This window comes from Homo sapiens, chromosome 22 (genome assembly GCF_000001405.40).
Source record: "Homo sapiens chromosome 22, GRCh38.p14 Primary Assembly".
Lineage (NCBI taxonomy): Eukaryota > Metazoa > Chordata > Mammalia > Primates > Hominidae > Homo > Homo sapiens.
This window is the reverse complement of record NC_000022.11, coordinates 25905602-25931320: the sequence shown is the minus strand read 5'-3', so window position 1 is coordinate 25931320 and position 25719 is coordinate 25905602. Positions and strand designations below refer to the sequence as shown.

General features: G+C 43.1%; 1 protein-coding gene across 14 annotated transcripts in view; it reads right to left on the bottom strand.

Annotated features, from left to right (window-relative positions):
- MYO18B (myosin XVIIIB) overlaps positions 1-25719 on the bottom strand; it is a 321660-nt gene that overhangs the window by 132527 nt on the left and 163414 nt on the right. For all 14 annotated transcript variants that reach the window (XM_011530461.3, XM_011530458.3, XM_017029014.2 and 11 more), the window contains 3 exons: positions 22889-22999; positions 20271-20375; positions 9912-10064 (listed from right to left, as the gene is read on the bottom strand). In XM_011530461.3, coding sequence (XP_011528763.1) covers positions 9912-10064; positions 20271-20375; positions 22889-22999 — 369 coding nt within the window. The remainder of the gene's footprint in view (positions 1-9911; positions 10065-20270; positions 20376-22888; positions 23000-25719) is intronic.

Below are 25719 nucleotides of genomic sequence, written 5' to 3'. Positions count from 1 at the left end.
GCCTATAATGAAACCAGCCTCTTCCCACTTCATTCATCATAGCATTGAATGTGTCAACATTTGTGGGGTGAACAGGCCTGTGATAACCATGTTTTTAACCAATTACAATTCTGTCTTTATCTTCTCCGACAGGAGGTTATGTTAACATTGAATAAATTCACTCCAACATAATCGTTTTAAAAAAGGCTCTTCAAATAAAACATCGCAGGAAGCCACCTGTTCCATAGTTCCTGGCTGGGGAAAAATGTTCCCCAGGTGCCCACACACAAAAGACTCCCATCAGGGTCATCTTCCCAGTGCTTACTAACTATTTCCAATGTCTCATGGAAGCATGGATGACACACGGTGATAAATGTCCCAATTAAGGGCACTGAGCATGAATCCAGGGTTATTAGTCTTCTAAGCACTAACAGAGAGCCTCGGGCTATTAACAAACCACTGCTGGGAGCTCACAGTGTATAAGTCGCACAAGGCTTTGTGGCTCCACCTGAGTAAACACCGGAGCTGACCCAGAATTCCCAAGTGGAAGGACCTACAGGAGCACTCAGGGTGTCCAGGGAAGATGTGGCCTGTAGTCCCTGCACTTTGGGACGCCAAGGCGGGTGGATCACTTGAGCCCAGGAGTTCAAGACCAGCCTGGGCGACACAGAGAAACTTTGTCTCTAGCAAAAATACAGAACAATTAGCCAGGTGTGGTGGTGCATGCCTGTATTCTGCTTGAGGTTGAGGCTGTAGTAAACCGCGATTGCACCACTGCACTCCAGCCTGGATGACAGGGCAAGACCTTGCCTCAAAATAAAAAAAAAAATTAAAAAGGATGTAATAGCCCCGAGACAGCAGAGGACCAACAGGAGGCATTGGTGGCATGGCGGGGAGAGGTTAAATTCCCAGGTACCTGAGTCGGATTCCTTCAGTTCAAACCCAGGCTGGGATTTTTATTAATTACCTTTGTGACTTTGGCTAAGTCTTTTACTATGTTTACTCACCCCAGTCCCTGCCTTTAAGGGTTTAGAAAAAAAACGATGGAAACAAAGGAATAATTACAGGGAGTGACAAGTACTAACTCAGGGGCAGGCCCAACAGATTGTGGGGAAGGAGAGGCGGCACCCTCACCCAGCCCATGGAGGACCAAGAGGGCTCCAAGAGAGGACACCCAAAGTCAATTTCACAGAATGCTTAGATGCTTATCAGGCAAAGAGGGATCAGTGAAAGAAGCAAGAACCCAGCCAAGGGCATTGCTTGGGCAAAGGTGAAGAGGTGAGGGCAGGTGCAGAGGACACCAAGCCATCCTAAGCTTCGGGTGAGGGGTGACAGGAGGGTAGGTGCCAAAATATGCATCCGTGTAGGTCAAGGGAAGAAACCTGGACTTTAGGCTGAAGGCAATGTGAAACTACCAATGGATCTTGAACACACAAAGAACCGACTTTGCGTTTAAATTTTAAAATTCTCTCTCCAAAGATCAGACGGTACAAAGATTGCTCAGACAAGACCAGAGGCCAGCCAACTTGAGAGAAATCCAAGTACTAGATATTCAGGTGGACTGTAATACAAGCAGAGAGAGACGGGGGATGCATTTCAGAGCTATTTAGAGGGTACAATGACTTGGTGGCAGCTTTGTTCTCAGAAGGAAGAGGTGAATACAGCCCCCAGCATGAATTAAGTAAACGACTAAAGAGTTCAGTGCAAATCCTTCTCTATCTAACAGAAAGCAAGTAACATATTGCCTCTGTGGAAGAGACAAAGGTCAGAAGCATGAATCAAATAGGGGGAGAGAAAAAGCAACTGCTGCCCTGGAGCAGACATCATCTCCGACTTTCTCCTTGGAGCCAGGTGTTAGCATCTGCTGCTCACAGATGTTATTTGTGCACAGCGATTATCTCAATTATATATCTTGGTTGTTGGAACTGCTTCTGTCTCCAGATTAGTTTGTTTCCAGTGGAAACATTCCATGAGAATTAATTAGAAATCAGCTCTGAAAAAAAACAGGTGTCATTAGATCAACCCCACACCTTGTCTGCCTACCTGTTCCAAGAGGTCTTATAAAATCATGTGCTCAGAAACTAAAATCTTCCAATAGCTGACACCGGTGAATGAAAGGAGAGAGCCAATTGGGGATGTTATGTTATATTTTGAGATCACTGTCTTTTTTTTTTTTTTTTTGAGACAGTTTCGCTCTTGTTGCCCAGGCTGGAGTGTAATGGTGTGATCTTGGCTCACCACAACCTCTGCCTCCCAGGTTCAAGCGATTCTCCTGCCTCAGCCTCCTGAGTAGCTGGGATTACAGGCATGCGCCATCATGCCCAGCTAATTTTTGTATTTTTAGTAGAGAAGGGGTTTCTCCATTTTGGTCAGGCTGGTCTTGAACTCCTGACCTCAGGTGACCCGCCCGCCTTGGCCTCCCAAAGTGCTGGGATTACAGGCATGAGCCACCATGCCTGGCCAGGAGATCACTGTCTTAGGGTTTTCAATTTAATGACTCCTTTCAAATCCATGGTCCAGTGTTCTTTATATCAGCCCAATCAGCTGAGATTATCGTACCCCCTTATTAGGCAAGAAAGACTCTATGCAAGGCAGCTGACTTGCCCAAGATCTGCAGCAAGGTAAGTGTCATTGGCAGGATTTGAATCCTATATATGGCTTTCAGGAGTCTTCTGTATTGTATCAGGAGGGTTTTAAGCCTCAGGTGTTCACTGAGATGTATCCAAAGCTCCCAGTGGAGGGAAACTGGGAGAAAAGAACCAAATGATTATCTTAGGGTTCTAGATGCAGGGGCAATGAACAGAGGGGGTGCCTGCCCATCTGGAGAGAAGATGCTGTAGCTAAGGGAAACTGTTGCTGCTGGTAGAGCCTGATATTCTGCACATCAGGGCTCCTGTGATTTAGCTGGGGACTTGCCTTTTTTTTTTTTTTTTTTTTTTGAGGCCGGGTCTTACTATGTTGCCCAGGCTGGTCTCAAACTCCTGGGCTCAGAGAAAAAGACCTCCCTCTGTCTCCCAAAGTGCTAGGATTACAGGTGTGAGACATTGCACCTGGAATCCTGCCAATTTTTACAAGCCGTTCTGGCCACACCTTCCTCTGCTCAGTAGCTTTCTATGGCTCCCTGTGGCTTTGGGATAAAACTGAAGCTCCTCAGCCAAGCTCACTAAACCATTCATGAACTGGCTCCAGCCTCCATTACCAGCACTATCCTCTCTGCCCTTTTAACCCCTGGATACCTTATACTCCAGCAATACCATGCCGAACTGAATATGCTTTCTGTCTCTGTGTGCCTCTGCCCTTTTACGCACTGGTGTTTCCTCCTAGAATGTCTACATACATGTACCTTATCTAACCAGCAATTCATTTCCATCTTTAAAGAGATAACCAAAGCTACCAGCTCCTCTCTCAAAGCAAAATTAAGGGCCTCCTCTTTAGCTAATCCAAATAGTCCTCCAATAAAGAGTATCGGGGAATCTGCCCCGATATTCACGTAGGTTCTTTTCTATTTTCCTTAAGAGTCAGCCAGCTTGAGAAATAAAGGGACAGAGTACAAAAGAGAGAAATTTTAAAAGCTGGGTGTCCGGGGGAGACATCACACGTCGGTAGGTTCCGTGATGCCCCACAAGCCACAAAAACCAGCAAGTTTTTATTAGGGAGTTTCAAAAGGGGAGGGAGTACGCGAATAGGTGTGGGTCACAGATGTCAAGTACTTTACAAGGTAATAGAATACAACAAGGCAAGTGGAGGCAGGGCAAGATCACAGGACCACAGGACCGAGGCGAAATTAAAATTGCTAATGAAGTTTCAGGCACCATTGTCATTGATAACATCTTATCAGGAGACAGGGTTTTGAGATCAACCGGTCTGACCAAAATTTATTAGGCGGGAATTTCCTCTTCCTAATAAGCCTGGGAGAGCTATGGGAGACTGGAGTCTCTTTCACCCCTGCAGTCTCGACCATAAGAGACAGGCGCACCTAGGGGGGCTGTTTATAAGCCTATACCTCCAGGCACGTATTCTCTTTCCCAGGGATGTTCCATGCTGAGAAAAAGAATTCAGCGATATTTCTCCCATTTGCTTTTGAAAGAAGAGAAATATGGCTCTGTTCCGCCCGGCTCACCGGCAGTCAGAGTTTAAGGTTATCTCTCTTATTCCCTGAACAATTGCTGTTATCCTGTTCTTTTTTCAAGGTGCCCACATTTCATATTGCTCAAGCACACATGCTGTACAATTTGTGCAGTTAATGCAATTATTACAGGGTCCTGAGGCGATATACATCCTCCTCAGCTGACAGGATTAAGAGATTAAAGTAAAGACAGGCATAGGAAATCACAAGGGTACTGACTGGGGAAGTGTTAAGTGTCCATGAAATCTTTACAATTTATGTTTAGAGACTGCAATAAAGACAGGCATAAGAAATTATAAAAGTATTAATTTGGGGAACTAATAAATGTCCATGGAATCTTTACAATCCACGTTCTTCTGCCATGGCTTCAGCTGGTCCCTCCATTTGGGGTCCCTGATTTCCCACAACAAAAGAGTTTATCACTCTGCTTGTTATAGCCTGCTTCTAGGACTAGGAGCCCCTTAAGGGCAGAGACCTTGACATTTCCTCTTTATCCCTGTAGCTTGGCCTCAAATTCATCCCAGAGTGGAGATCATATCCATATTTGCAGAGTGAACACAGTTCTAACATGTGCATTCGAACACATTCCCTCCTACATGTCCTTTATACAACAAAACTTTCGGCCAGGTGTGGTGACTCACACCTGTAATCCCAGCACTTTGGGAGGCTGAGGTGGGTGGATCACTTGAGGCCAGGAGTTAGAGACCAACTCAGTAAAACCTGGCCAAGATGGTGAAACCCCATCTCTACTAAAAATACAAAAATTAGCAGGGCATGGTGGCGGATGCCTGTGATCCCAGCTACTCGGAAGGCTGAGACAGGAGAATCACTTGAACCTGGGAGGCAGAGTTTGCAGTGAGCCAGAGATAGGGCCACTACACTCCAGCCTGGATGACACAGTGACACTGTCTTAAAAAAAAAAACACCTTTCTCTAGGTTTTCTGTCATCACAGTGAGCGAATGTGAAGGTCGCAGAACATGTTCTAATTTCTTTTTTTTTCTTTTCTTTTTGAGACGCAGTCTTGCTCCATCGTCCAGGCTGGAGTGCAGTGGCACAATCTCGGCTCACTGCAAGCTCCACCTCCTAGGTTCATGCCATTCTCCTGCCTCAGCCTTCCTAGTAGCTGGAACTACAGGCTCCTGTCACTGCATCTGGCTAATTTTTTATATTTTTAGTAGAGACAGGGTTTCACCATGTTAGCCAGTTTGGTCTCGATCTCCTGACCTTGTGATCCACCCTCCTCGGCCTCCCAAAGTGCTGGGATTACAGGTGTGAGTCACCGCACCTGGCCTTTTTTTTTTTTTTTTTTTTTGACAGAGTCTTGCTCTGTTGCCCATGCTGGAGTGCAATGGCGCGATCTCAGTTCACCACAACCTCTACCTCCCGGGTTCAAGTGATTCTCCTGCCTCAGCCTCCTGAGTAGCTGGGATTACAGTCATGCACCACCACACCGGGCTAATTTTTGTATTTTTAGTAGAGACAGGGTTTCACCATGTTAACCAGGCTGGTCTCAAACTCCTGACCCCAGGTGATCCACCCGCCTCAGCCTCCCAAAGTGCTGGGATTACAGGTGTGAGCCACTGTGCCCAGCCACCTGCTCAAGTTTCTGAAGGCTTCATTGCCTTTCCCTCCTCAGCCCCTGGGCCATCATGTGATGATGATGATGATGCTTCGCTTTAGAAAAAGGGCTCAGAGAGGTCGGGACACTTGTCAAAAGTCATGAATTAGCAAGTGCTGGATCCAGTTTTCTCTACTCAAAAATTAACTAATTTTAAAATAGGGGGAAATAAGATCTGTCACACTAATATAACCTCAGTGACAGTTTCCTCATCTGCAAAATATACATGCTACCACTGAACTCGAAAGGGTGTTCTGAGGGATAAATAAAGCCTATGGTTCCCCCCAGAACCCCTTCATGTGGTTGTTTAAAAATGCAGATCCTGAATTCCAACCAAAACTTGATTTTTTTAAAATGGGGTGGGGGAGGGGGCAGAATCCAGAAGTCTGTGATTTTAAAATGGTGTTTAACTTCTCTGATGTGCAGCCAAATTTGAGAAACCCCAAGACACTAAGGAAAAGTCTGGTACATAGTAAGTGCCTGACAATAGAAGTTAATAGGACCCGTATTGGTCAAACCAAGTTGTAAGGGTATAGGACATGTATTGCTGTGTGCCCTTAGGTAAATTGCTCAACCTCTCAGAGACTGCCTCTTCATTAGTAAAATGGGTTAAAAATAGGAATATCCACCTCCTAGGGTTATGGCAAGGATTTTCTGAAATAACACACTTAAGTGTTGCTAACCAAACCTCATCTGCACATCCCATCAATTCCAAATCAGCTCCAAGTTTGTCCCTTCTTGCCATCTCTATCAATACTCCCCCAACCCAGGTGACCATTTCCTCTGGCCTAGAAGGGTGCATTAGCCTTCTAAGGATATTCCCTCATACCCTCCACAATCCAATCTCCATGCAGAAGTACAATCCTCTAAAACGTGAATCAGATTCTGTCACGCTTCGCTCACAACCTCCCAATGGCTTCTCACCACCCCCGGGATAAAATCCAAACTTCCAGGCCCCGTATGTTCTGGTCCCTGCCTATTTCTCCTTCTCCCAGGGTATTTTAGCTGACCACCCAAGCTAAACAGGACGCCCCTGCAGTTCTCTATCTTAGCACCCTATTTATTTCCTTTCTCATTCAAATTAAGGTGTGGGATGATTCTATTTATTCGTATCATTGTTTGTCTTCTTTTCCATCAGATGTAAATTCTATGACGGTGGGTACCACCGCTGTCTCACTATCCATGGTGCTTATATCCAGCACACTGCCTGACACACAGTAGGTACTGCATAAATATTGAATGAATGAAATTGTTCAGCACCATGCTCAGCACTTAAGTAGCAGCCAGCAGCAAAGTTAGCTCCCTCTTCCTTCATCCTCCTGTCTGCTTTCCCTACCTATGTCCCTGGAGCCTTCAGGCAAAGGACAAATACTGTACATTGGAGAGGAGATGCAGCAATGCCCAATGTCATCACTGCTTTATTTGATTAGCTCTGACTCTGGCATCTGGGACACGTGCGCTGGGAGCCAAAGCAACTGTACCCTGACCTCTGGTCCACGCGATCCCATCCTTATAACGATTTCCATGACAACAGCAACGAAAAGCCAAAGCTGTGGATTTCCTTTGATAGGAGCCGGATGCAGAGACTAGGAAGAAGGACTTTCAGAAGAATGAGGCTCTTTGATTCAGCTCAAAGCGCCTTCATTAAATACCACTTTTTCCCAAGAACATGCATTTTAACCCTGCAGAGGGAGAATTCTCATGAATACTTAATAAAAAAAAAAGAAAAAGTAACAAAATCTCTGTGTGGTTTCTTTTCAAAAACATCCACCTGTTGGGGGAAGGGAAGCTTGGGTGCTGTGGCACTGGGGACATTTTGATGGAAAATGGGCAGGTATGTGGCCTTCTGCCAAGGGAGTTGCTCAACTCAAAATGCCTGGCCCCTGGCTGGGCAATCACACAGCAACTCTGCCTACCTAGAAGCAAGCCAGGTGCCTCAAGGTTCCGTACCCACCTGGTCAGCCAAGCAGACAGGAAGACGCAATGTGAGTCAAAAGCATCTCTCAATTCTGCACTTAGAATCACAAACTTGGTATTCAAATCCCCGACTCTGCCACTTACCTGCTGTGTTACTTTGGACACACCACTTGCCACCTCTGGACAACATTTTCTCATCTGTAAAATGGGCACAATGCCACCTCCCCTCCCCTAGGGGTATCATGAGGATTAAGCAGGGCAATGCGTTCAAGCACAGGTGATACTGGCTTCCTGACATGGCCATGAAGAGGATAGAATGACCAGCCATCCTGGCTTGCCCAGGACCCAGGACTGGCAGTGCTAAAACTAAGAAAGTCTCAGACAAGTCAGGATGGTGGGTCACCCTAGAAGAGAATGATTTGATAAAGGAGATGGCTAAGAGTCGCAGAATTTTCAAGATGGAAGGGCCCTCCCAGTGTCTTCTGGTTTAACAAGTTTGCTTCTGCCATATTCTTTCCAATAGCACATAAACTCGCTCTATTCATGAGAAAACCATCAAACCCAGATTAGAAGACATGCCATAGGATACCTGTCCAGTGCTCCTCAAAACTGTCAGGGTCATAAAAAGCAAGGTCAGCCTGAGAAACTGTCCCAGACCAGAGGAGACTGGGCAGGTATGACAGCAAAATGCAGAGTGTGGTCCCGGGTTGGATCCCGGGAGAGGAAATGGGAGAGACTGGTGAAATTCAAATCAAGTCTAAATTTAGGTTTTTGTTTTGTTTTGTTTTGGTTGAGGTCTTCTAGTTAAGCGAATAAGCTCTAACTGAAATGTTTTGTTTTACAGATAGAAACTGACACCAGAGACTGGAAGCAGCCGAAGCTGTGGGATCGCTGTTTCCAACCCTTGGCGCTATAGTCTGCTGCCTTTTGCTGTCTTCCTGGGGACCTGTTGGTCATCATGGGCTGTGTCTCCAGAAGGAAGAGAGAAGGGCACTGGGTTTGGAGTCAGGAAACATGGGTCCCAGGCCCAGCTCAGCCTCTGACTGGAGGAAGGGACAGTAACCCTCCAAGAAGGCAGGTGGCGAAGGCATCTGGGCTTAGCAAGAATGACTTATCCGAGGGAAGGTAACATCAATTGCATGGACACAACACTTCCAACAGAGCTCTGAGCCTCCCCAGGTGTCTTCAGCTCCCCATGGGGACCGGTAGCAAATCCTGAGTTCCTGCTACATCATTCAGCTTTGGGACATCTCTCCGCAAGGCTTGCACCACCCTGTGGGATCCATTCACACTTCTCAACACTAGCTGCCCTGGGCCACAGTCTGCCACCGCAACCGCCCACACTCATCACATCTCCTTAGGTCCCCAGTCTCTGCTCCGGCCTCACCTCCCTACCACCCTCAGACCTGCCGCTCCTCCTGTCCTCCTTTGAGTCGGCCCAAGGATGGTAGAGCCTGAAGACCTGGGTTCAAATCCTGGCTCTGCCGCTTTCAAGCTGTGTGACTTTGGGTGGGTCATCGTACCTTTCTGCCACCCGATCACCTGCACTTGTGAAATGAAGTTGATGATCTCACCTCACTCAGCAATCCTGAGAACACCATGCAGCACCATGTGCAGAGATACAGAGGACCCAGTACCTAGTGAGGGCTCCAGCTGGTAGCAGCCAGTGGTCAACATCATGCCTTGATCAATATCATTAGCATACTAATAGGCAGTCAAACTGCCAACGTTTGTATAACTGTTGCTATTGTTAAGCATTGGTTTTGCATGACTGGCACTATTGCACTATTGCTATTTGGCTCATACCTAGTCCTGGCAGTCACCACACACACACACACACACACACACACACACACACACACACTATTGCTATTTGGCTCATACCTAGTCCTGGCAGTCACCACACACACACGCATACACGCATACACACATACACATACACACACACACACACACACACACACACACACACACACAACAGGCACACTGCACTCAGCCATTCTGGCCAGTGCTGATCTGCCCAAGCCTTCCAGACAGAAGAATTCTGCCTCATCTCTGAAAAAGGGAACAGGACTCCTTCTTAGACCCCTCCTCCTCACCTACACTCCACATGACCCTCACAGCCCTGAAATGCCCCCCATCTCCCTGCACATCTGTGAAAGTTGGAGGTTGGCACCATGGTTCCGCTCATACCTGGGAGGGACAGCAATTCTCTGCAGGTCGTAGCATCCTCCCCAGCCTGATTCTCAAGGGGATCCCGTGACACCCACCTGGCTGTGCACTTTCTCCAGCTCCTCCTTGCTGACTGATGTCTTGCCATCCTCCATGGTGCCCAGAAGGAGCTGCACGTCTGACAACAGTGCATGTGTCCTCCTGAGGTCTCTCCGAAGTCGCTTCTCCACATCAAAGTCCCGATGGCCAATCTGAAAGCCAAAGGGAGACCCATGAGCTTAGGTGGCAAAGCAGTGGCCAGGGTCTAAGTTTTCCGGAATCAGGTTCCCTGGTTTAAATCCTGCCTCTGCCACTCACACCGTGTGACCTTGGACAAGACCATTCTCCTCTCCGAGCCTCAGTTTCCTCAACTGAGAAATGGGATTGGCACCAACCACATTGGGCTGCTGTGAAAATTAAATACATGCCTAGCCTAATGCTTGACACAGAATAAATGTACAAGAAATATGAGTTACTATCATTGCTGCTATCATAGCCCGTATGGATCCAAAGCCACTCTGTCATCCCATCTCTTGCACGCAAGTCATCAGTGTGACCTCACCTCATCTTGTAAGAGCCTCATGTGCCAGGTGAATCCCTCTGCTGCTGGCCAGGTTCTGCTGACAGCAGTTAGGACAGTCCTGGGTGGGCAGGGACTGGACAGAGCCTCTGGACTTCTGGAGAGTTATTAATGTTATTGATCTGGGTGTTGTTTTATGAGTTTATGAAAATTCACTGAGCTGTACACGTGGGATACGGAGTACTCTGTATTTGTGTTACACCTCAGTAAATTGTAAATGTGCTCCTTTTGAAGTCAATCCTTTCTGTCCTTTGGTCCTCTTTTCCAGTTGGAGGACAAACAAATGAGATCATTTTCTGCAGAGGAACCTTACCCAGAGGTGAGTACATTCCTTCCCCCAGAATCTTGAATTTGCCAGGGACAGCTGTCAAGGGAGTCCCAAAGAAGCCGCATCCTGGACTGGGCACCAGGAGTGTGACCTTAGACTCCTTGACAGCCTTCAGTGGCCAAAAAGTACAGGTTAAGCCAAAACAGAAGAGGTGCAGAATTACACCAGGGCCCTACATGAAATTTCGACAGCTGGTCACCTCTCTAGAAATAGTGCTGACTTAAAAGACAACGTGTTAACATCTCTGAAAGAAACTAACAACTCCCTTCTTGGACTCTTCAGGAGACCAGACGATACAATACGGGCCTGTCCATCAGATGGGGAGTTTCAAGGAAAACAGGGTGCAGATGCCTCAACACTGGGATGTGGTTTTTACACACCTGGAAATCTGTGTCTCCACATGAAATGCTAACCATTTCCTGGGATGCTCAGAATGTCCTGGAATATTCTAGAAAAAACATGGGGTTGAGAATGAGCAGATCTAGGCTTTAAACCCTGGCTCACCATTTGCTGATGATGGAGCAGTGGCTGAGTCACGCCACATCTCTGAACCTGAGTTTTCTCATCCACAAAAAGAGAGGTTAAAAAAAACACCCTATCCTTCGTGTTGAGATAAGACAAGGATCAGATGTGATAATGGATTCCAAAGCACTTTGTAAGCTGTTGAGTGCTTTGCAAATATAAAGGATTATGAGTATTGTCTGAAGACCTCGAATGTGTTCCTCTAGATTTTGTATTTCTATTTCTCTACTGCTGGTTTTGAGTTCTTTGAAAAACGAGTTGGTTCTCAGAATACGGTCTTTATATCTGAAATGTATTGTTTTGGTAGGTTCAAAATGCTGTTCTATTATACACACACACACACACACACACACACACACATACACACACACAATCTCACCTGCTGAACTGAGTTAAGGGCTGGGCATTGTGCCAGGCTCTTTGTCACGTTATTGCATTTAACTCCTGTGACAATCTCCTTAAATAGACCTTATTATTATTGCCTTTACAAATGTAGTAATAGCTTACATTTATAGACAGTTTTAAGTGTCATATACTATTCTAAACACTTTATAGCTATTGATGCATTTAGTCATCATGATGAATCAATGAGGTGTATAGTATTATGATTCCCATTTTACAGATAATGAAACTGAAGTATGCAAAGATGAAGTAATTTGCCTCAGATCACACAGCTAGTAAGTGGCAGAGTTGGAATATGAATCCAGCTTTTCTGGCTGGAAAGTGGTAATTTTAGTAAAATATAACATTAGATAGGTGTGTTTTAGTCTTTAATTCTGAAAAAATATATATTATGGGGGCACAGAAGAGCATTACCCAGCTCAGGCTGGGATGGAATTGGGAAGTAGGAGGTAGCTACTCCTAGCTAGGGGAGGTGGAGGAAGAGCATTTTAGGTAGAAAGCACTTAATGAGCAAAGGCGGAGAGGCAAGAAATAATCTGGGCTATGCATTTCGGGGTGGTTGCCATGAGGGTATAAAACCCCGAGTTGAGGGGCAGGTTACAAAGTGAAAGAGGTTATCCAGGGCTCTTACATGGAGGAACAACTGATATGAAAGAGCAAATGATCTGCCCAATGTCATATTGCTACTAAGTGGCTGTGCAGAGATCTGAATCCAGACAGCTCAGCATTAGGATGTAAGTCTGTAACTACTGCACCACAGTGCCTAGTGGAGCTGCTTCATAAACTCAGATTTACTTACTCTAGAACCCAGACTCATGAGTATGCTTAGGCAGTGGGCTTTGCACATTTCTTATATTTGTGTCTGTTTTTGTTTTGCATATATCCTAAAGTGCCTTTAATTCTCCTGTGGGGCGAGTTAGCATCAGGGACATTCCCTGATGTTGACACTGACCATGCAGTAGAGATGGCTCAGATTCTACGATCTTCACTGCCTGAAAGGCCCTGAAAATGCTGGCACTAACTCCTTTCCAGAGGAAGCACTGCAAACAGAATTCACAAGAAAATCTCAGACCAGTCATCCTCCCATTTATAACAAATTGCTACAGAGAGGAGGGCAAAAAATATCACTCATTAGGTTAATGGGAAATAAATGTCATTCTGCGAGTTTCCCTTTTAAAGCACAAAGATTCAAACTTTGATAAAGATGGTGAATAATTAACTAATAAATCTACATGATGTTTAGTGTTGTTGTGAGTAACTATATTCCAACCTTAGTTGGTTCACCATTTATCATAAAGGCAAATTGTTTGGGGAGCTTGTCAAATGTCCATTGTCAAAGGAATCTCCAAACACTATTAAAATATGGTCTAGAAGTGCCGTTAGGGATAACCAAACCACTTTACAGATGGGGAAATTGAGGCTTGGAGACAGAATGCGTGTTGCTGAGGGCTTCACAAATTAATGGCAGAACTGGCTGCCTGAGAACACTATGAAAAAAAGATGGTGCACAAAAATATGGTTCTAGCTAAGTGGACCTTATCGCTTTTAAGCAGAATCATAATAGGTTTTTAAAATGACAGATATTCAAATAATATAGACCTCATTTAGAATCCGCCTAGGGTACTAACTTGCTATGCAATCCTGGGCAAGTTGCTTTACTTTACTTTTCCGAGCCTCACTTCTTTCATTTATATGAAGGAAATAATAATATCTATCCCACAGCATTACTGTGAAAATTAATGTTAGTAAAAAATTATGATTAAGCATATATCTGGAAATGTATGAGTAACCACCAAAAGAACAGAAATAGAGTTTATAGCTTCTGAATCAATAGGTCAAAAGAGAACATAGAAAACATCAATCTATCCAAAAGTAGGAAAGCAATAGAGGGAGAGCAATGTAAAGGGACAAGAAACTAACAAAACACAAAATAGTTTCAAATATATCAGTCATTATAACAAATGTAAATAAATTAAATTTTTATATGAAAAGCTAGAGACTAAAATATTGCATTAAAATTATCCAGCTGTTTAAAGAAAACACATGAACATGCATACACACACACACACACACACACACACACACACACACCCCTACAAAGCTTTAAAATGAAATAGAAAAAGTCTTGCAGGTAAACTGACTAAAATAAATCAAGCGAAATAAAATAAGGCAAAACTTATTCATGGAGAAAGAAAGACACCAAGTAAGAATCGAAGCAATGATCTTCAAGAAAATAAAGCAATACAAAACTTAGATGCACCTAAATATATAACCATAAAATACATAAAGAGAAACTATGACAGAACTGTTAACAAACTTTGGTATAACCATTCTCATGGTAAGGATATAACAGGACTCTCTTAGAAACAGATTAAGAACTCAAAACCAAAGTTAACAGGAGGTAGTTTTAAAAAATACATAATCATGTATTTTAAAACTTTTCCTTTATGGTTTATGCTTTTATATTCGTATGTAATGTTGAAATAAAAATTTAACAAGGTTGATTCATTTGCCATGTATTGAACCCTGTGCCTCATAAACAGTTACATTATTTTCTACTCAGTAGTTTATTTTTGTTTCTTTGTTTGTTTTGTTTTTTGTTTTTGAGACAAGGTCTCGCTCTGTCACCCAGGCTGGAGTGCAGTGGCGCAATCTCGGCTCACTACAACCTCTGCCTCCTGGGTTCTAGTGATTCTCATGCCTCAGCCCCCTGAGCAGCTGGGATTACAGGTGCCCGCCACAACACCCGGCCAATTTTTATATTTTTAGCAGAGACAGGGTTTCACCATGTTGGTCAGGCTGGTCTCGAACTCCTGACCTCAAATGATCTGCCCACCTTGGCCTCCCAAAGTGCTGGGATTACAGGCGTGAGCCACTGTGCCCAGCCACACACAATCCTTTATTAAACTCTACCAATAACTAGAGCAACAAAGAGATCTCAACAATTTCAAAGAAAAGATGTTATGCATTCTACCATGTTATCTGTCCTAAATGCCATTAAATTAAAAATTAACAATAGAAAGTTACTCCAAATCATCCTAAATGTTAATAAACTTGAAACTCAAGTTCTAGATAACTTACAGGTTAAAAGAAAAAAAGAACAAAAGATACAACAAGACACTTAGTAGATGGCACTAAAACAGCAATTCCAGGTAAATGTATTATCTTAAATGTATTATCTTAAAGAAAACAGTTTAAGTGGGATAAAAAATATTGAAGGTGAGTTAAACATTTTAATACTAAAACTGAAGACCAAGAACAAAAATCTAAACCAATGGAAAAAAGAAGGAAAAAGAAACAAACATAAGGTCAGACACTATTAAATACACAACAAAGAAACAATAAAACAAAAGCAGGTTATTTGAAGGGATTACAGACAAAACTCTAACAAGACTAATCATCATCAACCACAAAATAACTCAAAAGTAAACATTATTATGATTAAAAAGAAAATAATCTGATACAGTAGAATTTTTTAAATAACGAGAAAATACCATGAATATTTTTTATGTCAACCTATTTGAAAAATTAGATGAAATAATAAATGTCTAGAAACATTAGTTACCAAAGTTCACTCAATAAGGAAAAGAATAATACCTGAATTTGTGTTCAATTATGATTACAGCATTTTGACACAGTAATCAAATAGGGTTACAAGCAAATTGTATCTAATCTGCAAGAACTGCATGATCCAAATTTTACAAAAAATTGTCTCAGAAATAGTTGTGAATTCATTTTATGAGATTAGTACAACACTTGACAAAGACAGTCTAAGAGAAAAAAATTATAAAACAATCTTACTTATGTGCCTGGTTTCAAAAATCCTAAATAAACTGTTAGCAATCCGAAAGAGCTGTGTATTGAAAACATATGACTAAGAAAGGTTTATCTGGGAAATATATCAGGATACCTTAAGTATCTAAAATATACTACATTGATAGATTGAGACAAGTCATCAGATTATCAACAATTGCAGAAAAAACATATAATATTCAATAATAAAACATCTTTTTTTAAGATATTAGAAAATTACAAATACAAGACTGATTTAACCTTATTAAAGTTACAGTCACGTGCCACATTACATTTCCATCAATGATGGATTGTATATACAACGGTGGTCCCATAAGCTTATAATACCATACTTTTGCTGTACCTTTTCTATGTTGAGATATGTTTAGGTACACAAATACTTACCACTGTGTCACAATTGCCTCCCAAATTCAGTACAGTAACATGCTGTACAGGTCTGTAGCCCAGGAGCAATAGACTATATCAGATAGCTTAGGCATGTAGAAGGCTATCCCGTTTAGGTTTGTGTGAGTGCACTCTAGGATGTTCCCACAATGATGAAATTGTCTAATGATGCATCTCTCAGAAAGTATCCCTGTCACTAAGCAATCCATCACTGTAATTATCAAAGACACTGCAAATATGTGTATCACAAAACTTTACAAGCACTCCTATTAAGGTCAGGAACAAGAAAAGGATGTCAAATATCTTTCTCTACCATTCAATCTTATACTGGAGGCAAATGAAATAAGGTAAGAAAAAGAAACAAGAAGTAGAAAGTATAACATTTTTTTTTTTAAATTTGTTGAGATCTTTGTTGCCCCAATCCATGGTCAAGAGTCAAAACTGGCCGGGCGCGGTGTTTCATGCCTGTAATCCCAGCACTTTGGGAGGCCGAGGTGGGTGGATCACGAGGTCAGGAGACAGAGACCATCCTGGCTAACACAGTGAAACCCCATCTCTATGAAAAATACAAAAAAATTAGCCAGGCATGGTGGCAGGCGCCTGTAGTCCCAGTTACTCGGGAGGCTGAGGCAGGAGAATAGCGTGAACCCAGGAGGTGGAGCTTGCAGTGAGCTGAGATCGCGCCGCTGCACTTCATCCTGGGCGACAGAGCGAGACTCCATCTCAAAAAAAAAAAAAAAAAAAAAAAAAAAAGAGTCAAAACTATTCTTATTTTCAAATGATAAGATTGTCAAGGCAGAAAATACAAAAAAGCCTACAGATGAAGTATGAAAGATAATAAACGTTCAGGAAGTTTGCTAGATACAAGATTAATGCATGATAATCAATGGTATTCCCATATGCCACAATAACTAGTTGAAATATAGATAGAATACAGAAAAATATTCTATTCATAATAGCCATAGAAACTACAAGTTTCTTGAAAATAAATCTAACAAAAAAGTCCAAGATCTGTATAGAAAAATATAATAAAACATTACTGAAAGCCACAAATAAATGGAGAGGGCATATGCAATAATATAATAGTTCAATATAAAAAAAGTCAATTGTTCCCAACTAACTTGTAAATCAATGCAATTCCAATAAAAATTACATCAGGTTTTGTTGTAGAACCTAAATAAGAAGATTAAAGGGTCAATAAAACAGGCAATTTTAAAAACAGTCAAGGTAAGCTGTCCTACGAGTTATCAAAACCCAGCCATGAAGACCATATGGTGGAGAAATAGACAAAAAAAAACCCAATGAGCCACAATGAGGAGTTCATAAACACACCCAGGCATACATGGTAATTGCAGGAAAAAAATTATGAACTAAAACATAGTTTATCCATATTGAGGAAGATAGATTCCTACCTCACACTATGCACCCCAATAAAATCTAGATGGATTAGAGACCTAAAAATGTCAAAAGCAATACTTTAGAACTTTTAAGACACATGATGACATTTTTGTGAACTCAAAGAACAGTATCTTAAGATATAAAAGCGCAAACCATAAAACATGCTTGATTAACACGACTGTATTAAAAATATTTTTTATTAAGCTAAGGACATTATAAACAAAGTGAAACAATTATCCATAGTGTAGGAGATATTTGCAAAATACGTAACCAAAAATGGATTCGCATCTTGTATAAAGATCATGAATGATCAATAGAGAAAAAGGAGACAAACTTCTATGAATAGGCAATTCACATAAGAAAAAGCCACAATCGGCCAGGCACGATGGCTCACGCCTGTAATCCCAGCACTTTGGGAGGCCAAGGCGGGTGGATCACGAGGTCACGAGATCGAAACCATCCTGGCTAACACGGTGAAACTGTGTCTCTACTAAAAATACACACAAAAAAATTAGCCAGGCGTGGTGGCGGGCGCCTGTAGTCCCAGCTACTCAGGAGGCTGAGGCAGGAAAATGGCATGAACCCAGGAAGCGGAGCTTGCAGTGAGCCCAGATCACACCACTGCACTCCAGCCTGGGAGGCAGAGCGAGACTCCGTCTCAAAAAAAGAAAAGAAAAGAAAAAGCCACAATCAACATGTGAAAAATGCACAGCATCCCTGTGGAGGGCCACGCAATACCATTTAGCACCCGATGCCTGGAAAAAATGTTTAAAAATGTCTGACAGTGCCACATGTTGGTGGGGACATGAAGAAGTAAAATTTCAGACACGGCTAGTGACGATGGAAACTGCTGCAATCACTTTGGGGAATAATCTGAGCGATATTTAATAATTCCCAAATTGTACATTCCCAGGAGCCAGCAATTCTTCTTCCAGCTACATACCCTGGAGAGACACTCGCCCGTGTGCACAGTGAGGCAGATACGAGACTATGCACTGCAGTTTGGGGTTTTAGGGTGGAAGTAACTAACTACCCACCAATAGAAGTAGGAGATTTTAAAAAAATGAATGCTGTGTAGAAATGAAATGAATTAATTAGAACTGCATGTATCATTATAGACTAATCTCAAAAACATAACATAGAGGGGGACAAAGTAAAGTGCAGAATCATATTGCTGCATGTGGCTGAAGTTGAAATATACATTCAGGGGAATTATACACCTCAAACCCCGGGGAATGGTTTCATCTGGGGAGGGAGGAAAGAAAGAGAAAAGCAGAGCCAGGATTGAGATTAGGAAGCGACATAAAGAGGCCACCAACCGTTCTTAAAACGTTTTGTTTCCTTAAAAACATCTGAATAAGAAATGGCAAAATGTTAATTTATGTGAACCCTGAGTGCTTGGTTCATAAACACCGATTACATTATTTGTTCTGCTTTTCCATGGGTTTGGCAAAGGTCATAACAAAAACATTTAAAATCATCAAAAGTGCTAATTTATTAAAAGGATCCAACTTGGTGACTAACACAAAGATGGCTTTTTATTCATTTAAACTTACCTTCTCTTTACATGTAAAATTTATTTTTGCAATTTGTATAAAAACCTTGCTTTACTAGATTATCTATTCTGTTTTCTCAGACTATGCTGAATAGAATGCAACCTTCTCGCAGTGATTCCCCTCTATCATTCTAGAATCTGGTACTGGGCTGTGCTCTCTTGCCCTGATGCTGAAGGAAAGTCACCTCAATGGCTCTGAATTCAATGGTCTCAATTGTTTGGCTGGAAAATTAGAAAACCCAGAGAAGAAGGAAGATTATATTGACTCCCTCAGCTTCCAACTCTTACTCTTGCCGCGTGTGTCCCTGCTGTGGAATTCACTCATTAAATCAATTTGTTTTTTAATACATAATAAGCATTTATTTTGTCCAAGGCATGGCTGCCCAAGATGATCACCTGAAGTGCACCCACATTGTTTTGTGAATAAAGTTAATGAATTTAGGGAAGGATATTGATAACAAGACCATTACTAATTAATAGACATCGAACCCATGTTAAGCAAATACATTAAAATACACTCCTTTGATACTTTAAAATAAATCATAGAAGCCACAGGCATTTCTCTCCCGTGTTGGGATTTCATGCAGCAGCAGCACAGGAAGGGAATAGAGTATCTAGGAGGTGGAAGAGTCATTCCTTGCAACTCTGAAATCGGAAGCTGCCTCTGAGCTCTGCTGGCTACATTAGTACAGCAACAGTTCTCAGTAGTGAGGGAAGTTGATTTTTTTTCCCCAAAGGACATTGGGCAATGTCTGTAGAAATTTTTGGTCGTCACAACTGAGGTGTGGGCTACTGCAATGTGGTGGGTAGAGGTCAGGGATGCTGCGTGATATCCCGCAATGTACAGGACAGCCCTCTACCACAAGGAATGATCCAGCTCCAAATGTTCATAGTGATGCAGTTGAGGACCCTGGTGTACACTGATGGACAGTCGAGAACCCTGGTGTACAGTGATAGCCACAACCCCATAAGGCTCCACTCTCCAGAAGCTCAGAGCTGTTAACTAGCTCACTCAAAGCCGTGCAGACAGAAGTGGTCCCTCTGGAGCTTAAAGCTACATTTGCCTGGCTCCAAGGCTGACTGCTTCTAGCAAAAGTCATGTTCTCAGGAGGGCAGTCATGTGTGCAGTGGCCATTCACATACATCCCCTTAAAGGAAGGACTGTCTGGTGGACTCTGATCCCAACAGCTGCTGAAGGCAAAGACAGCCTCATCCATTGCTCCTGGCTGGCCCCACTCTCTTTATTCCCCATGGGTTCTTACAAAAACCCTGCTGTTTGCAGGCACCTGAAGGTCTCCTTTGAAGAGCCAGTGAATATGGTGGGAACAGAGCTGATGGAGGAGAGGGTATCCCTCAGGCTGTTCTCTCCATGAGCCCATCTCTCAAATAGGTCCCTGAGATACTCCTCTGAATGTCTGCCAATGTCTCCCCCTTACCTGGTCACAGAGGGTTCCGATCAAGCCTTCCAAATCTTGCTTCTCATGGAGGACCATCTGCTTCTCTTCATACTCTTGCTCCAGCTGCATTTCCAGCTGATGAAGCTGTGGATACACAGGGAAGAAACATCACAGGGTAAATGAACTCCATCCAGACACATCCTACAAGGCAAGGACCCTCAGAAGGCGGAGGAATGTAGAGCTTGTGGCTTTGTTCCATGAGGCTGCCCTAGTGATTGGGTGGTAGTGTCTCTGTGGGAGAATTTAAGAGCCTAAAAGCTTGGGAGCTGGACAACAGTAGGGAGGGCTGGTCAATGATGGGGAACCCCTTGCCCTTGACTGTGAAACCCCCTCCCCCAGGTCCCCAGTAGAAGAGATGCCTCTCTCCTGCAGCCATGGCCACTGCTGAATATTTGCAAACCTTTGCACTTTGATTTTTAAAGGCTCTGAACAATATTATAACCAACATATCAAAAATGCATCCCCTCCATTATTAAATACACAATGATGCAGTAAAAAAGTTGCATTTGAGATTTTTTGGTGTTATAAACTATATGTGTCCCTCCACAATTCATATGGTGAAACCCTAACCCTCAGTGCAGTGGTATCTGGAGGTGGGGCCTTAGGGAAGTAATTAGGTTTAAATGAGGCCATGAAGGTAGAGCTTTCATGGTGGGGTGAGTGCCTGAAGACACCAGAAAGCTGTCTTCCACTCTCTTTCTCCACCACATGAGCGTACAAACAGGAGGTGGTGGTCTGCAAGCCAGGAAGACAGCCCTCGCCAGACACTGAATCTGCCAGCACCTTGATCTCAGATTTCCCAGCCTCCAGAACTGTGATAAATAAATGTTATCATTTAAGCCACCTAGACAATAATATTCTGCTACAGCAGCCTGAACTCAGACATCTGACTATGAGCGACTCATTTAATTTGCAACTGGCTCTGATTTCTCAGCAATTACCCAGCAAACACAGACATTCCCCACTAGAGCAAACACCCTACTGTGGCTGTGCTTTGCAGACCACCCCCACCAGCCTCTCTTGTATATATTATCCATCCTCCATTTCCACCTCATGCCATCAGAGATCCTATTTCACGGGTGGGCAAACTAAGACCCAGGGAAAATCCGAAGTGCATACTCTGCAATTAGTTGCTGTTTAGAGGAGTTAGTGTCCTCTCTCCTGACCCCAGCTCTTTCTGCCACCCCAGACAGCCCCAGCATTCCCACCCAGGTCACTAACTATTGATTTCCTGCCAACGTGAGAGATAGACTGAACAGAGCAGTCACCAGAATGAGAAGTCAATATCAGTATTTGTTATAAGGAGAAAAACACCGTTCTCTGACTTCACTCTCTCCTTTTATAAATCTATCCAGAGAAAAGCCTCAGGAGAGTCTGGGTCACATCTCCAACTCACTGGAGCCCTGGCTCAGGGCACACACCATACTTTGAGGCATTCTTAGAATAAACCAGAAATGTGTGCAATCTTCACCTGAAGGAATATGGGCAGGGACTGAGAGATTCCATCTCCTGACCCATGGAGGGGGAAAAAGTACTGAGTGATGGTCACTTCTATAGAAAGCAAGTTCGTTTCAGAAATTTCGTTTAGGATGGAGAGAAATACAAGGCGCTCTCTTTATATCTGTTTTTAGAATAAAGACTGGAAAAGCTAAAACCCATCTTGAAAAACACACAAAATAACAAAACTATATATCAAGCAAGGCAAAATTGAGTGTATTCTGTACATAGGTATGATTCAGGGGACGAGAAGGGAGGGAAGGTCTTATAGAGTACATGTGAGAACCTGTTAAACGAGGCTTAACCCGAAGCTTTCCAGCAATTCCACTTTGAAGATCCTACATTCAAATCCATCAATACAGCTCTAAGAATGTTTATCTCGGCACTGGTTATAAGGGCAGAAAACTAGAAACAACCTAATGTCCAGTGATAGGGGATTTACTGTATAAGTTAGAGGATAAGCTTTGGGTGAAAAACTGTTAAGCCATTAAACATATAAGTTAGATCTGTATTTACAGACATGAAAAGAGGCCATGACAAACTGCAGAGACAACAGGCTTCAGAACCACATGGCCTCATTTAGTGAAAATGATATCTCTGCAAATCTGCATGTGTGTACAGAGAGTGAAAGAGAGCTATAAAAGAACACTTAAAATAGTAATAATGATGGCTTCTAGGTGATAACATGTCAAGGGGTTATTGCTTTCTTACACACTGTTCGGAATGGCTACAAAGACTTTGGATAAAATGTTAAGAAATGATTTGACTTGTAAAGAAAATAGTAAGAAAGAATTGGTTCTATTATTGAAATTTACAAGTCCTTGGCATCAGTCACATGGCATTACGGGGACTTAGTAGAAATCTCTGAGCCATTATGCTGGACAGTTCCAGAGGCTTCTGGAAGTTCCAAGATCATATTTAAGATGGGCATTTCCGCTCCTACACCTTTGAAGTCACTTCGAAGCTAAGGTCTCAGATGATTGCAGAAAGAGCTTGTCCCCAGATCCCAGACCCTGTCCTACTCCTCGCTCTAAGGAAGAGGGAATCCATGCCAGACCTGCCAGGATCCAAGGGCACAGCTGTGTTCACTGCTCACGTACCCGCTTCTGGCAGGACTGACGGACATCCTCCAGTTCCTCCTCCTGGTCCTCACGGTCCTTCTGGTGCATCTGCTTCATCCGCTCGATCTCCAGCTCAAACCGCTGGCGGAGCTGCGGGGGCAGCAAGGACAGCACGTGAGGGTGACCCACTCTAACTCTCCAAGCCCTCCATGTCATCCTTGGCATTCCAATTGCATTTCTCATTTTTGGAATACATAAATGAGAGTCAAGTTATTGCCCTAGGCATCCTGGAAGATCACAAATGGTGGGTAAATAGATTAAATATTGCCTCTATCCATTCTTGTGCTTATAACAGACATCACTCATCAATCACACTTTCCCACTGAGTTTAGAAGCAGCCTCAGAATCCTTCTCAACACTCTTTTTTTTTTTTTTTTTGAGATGGAGTTTCCCTCTTGTTGCCTAGGCTGGAGTGCCACGGCGCAATCTCGGCTCACCACAACCTCCACCTCCTGGCTTTAAGCGATTCTCCTGCTCAGCCTCCCAAGTAGCTGGGATTACAGGCATGTGCCACCACACCTGGCTAATTTTTGTATTTTAGTAGAAACGGAGTTTCTCCATGTTGATCAAGATGATCTCAAACTCCTGACCTCAGGTGATCCACCCGCCTCAGCCTCCCAAAGTGCTGGGATTATAGGTGTGAGCCACCGGGCCCGGCCCCCTTCTCAACACTCTTAAGATGAAACATATTTCTCATTCCTGGAGCAGGCAACAGCGATGGTTTTCTGGGTGAGTGGATAGGTAGATGAATGGTAGGACAAAAGTGTATGAAGACATGAAAGCCTGGAAAAGAAGATGATTTGCCCAAAATGTTATCTGAGACAATTCACTTTACCTCTAGGTCAGTCCCCTTTCTCTGTAGAAAACAACCGTCTTAGAATGCTACTATGAGAATTAAATGATGATATAAAGCACCTAGCACAGTATCTGATACATAAATATTACTTTCTCTTTCCCCATTATTTCGAAAACAGAAAAGACTATCCCCTCCCTCCCTGGCAACCTGACATAATTAAGAGCTGTGATCCCATGAATGAGCTGGGTCTTTCAAACAAGAACCTCCAAAACACATGCAACAGGCATAGAGCCGTGCATAATGTTGGAACTGTGTGAAGTCGTATAAAGGGTTCTAGAGTGGAAGGCAAAAAAGTCATGAGTTCTAGGTCTAGTTCAAGACTTCACTTTCCTGATCTGCATGATTTACAGATTGGCCCAAGCCCTGGCTTCTCAAATTTTGTGGCACGTTAGAATTACAAACGCATTTTTAAAACATACAAATTGCAGGGCTTCACCCTAGACCTACTGGATTAGAATCCCCAGGGTACAGGGCCCAAGAAAGCTTTGAAGCTTTCCTTTATCTGTCTATACTCTTTAATGTTACTGGATCATGAAAAAGCATTTGGAACTCAATAGCGTAGATGGGTGATATGGTTAGGCTCTGTGTCCCCACCCAAATCTCATTTTGAATTTTAATTCCCATAATTCCCACAGGTCAAGGGAAGGACCTGGTGGGAGGTGATTGGATCACAGGGGGTGGTTTCCCTTGTGCTTTTCTCATGATAGTGAATGAGTTTTCTTAAGATATGATGGTTTTATACGTGACTGCTCCTGCTTCACACACTCTCTCTTGCCAGCCACCATGTAAGACTTGCCTGCTTCCCCTTCCACCGTGACTGTAAGTTTCCTGAGGCCTCCCCAGCCATGTGGAACTGTGAGTCAATTAAACCTCTTTTTTGCATAAATTACCCAGTCTCAGGCAGTTCTTCACAGCAGTGTGAAAACAGACTAATACAATGGGTTACATTGTAGAAATGATAACTTTCTGATCATTTACTCTACTGTCCCAGCACCTCTCATCAAGCTTTTGGAACTTAACAAGTGCTGTCCCCAACATGGACAGAAAAAAACAATCTGGGTCTTTTAAAATGTTGATAATATTCCCTGCTATGCCGTGGTGAGGAGCAAAAGGATAGTGTACGTCAGAGGCCCTGTTACAGTTTCTGGCATAAAGTAGGCTCACTTTAAATGTCAACTTCTTGCCTTTTTTTCCTTTAAAATGACAGGGGTTGTGGGAAGATAATCCAAAACCAAGGAGCCTGAGCAAGTAACTATAATATTTCTTTTTCATTTTTTCTAGCCTCTTGGACATTCTTGACATCTGCAATACCATTTATGTCAAACTTATACGAGTTAACATAAAATTCCCTGGAAAAAGTGTTGTATTATAATCAATAAATATCCACTGGATGTCTACAAGGGCACAATGCAGCCTGAGGTTATGGGTGAAGCTGAAGACGGATGAAAGTGTTGAGTCAGCCTCATCTCCTGGGTGAACTGAGCATGGAAATTCAGGCAGCTGCATTAAGTTTTGGGTCCCTGAGGCCATGGTAATACATTTTTGCTTCCGAGCACTAAGTGGTCCCCCAGTGGTATCTTAAAGAGTTAACACAGTTTTCAAGAGGGCTTGTTTTATTCTTGGCTCTGTGAAGATCCTGCTCATTTAAGGAACACAAGGAACACTGGGGTGCTACATGGCACTGCACCGTCATCCATGCCCTTTAAAGACCTACACAGATATTCCACCTTCTTCACAAACCTTCACTGATTCATAGCTGTGGTTGGCAGGAAGCTAGGGGAGAGATAAGGCTCCATATTTGATTGTACAGATAAGGAGACTGATGTCTGGAGAAAACAGGGGCTTGCCTAAGGTCATACAGGCAACAAGCTGCCTCAAAGACCCCGTATTACAGCTCCTTGAATATCCTACGACTATCCTGTCTGTCTTCAGGCTTTTGCACAGGCTGGTCCCC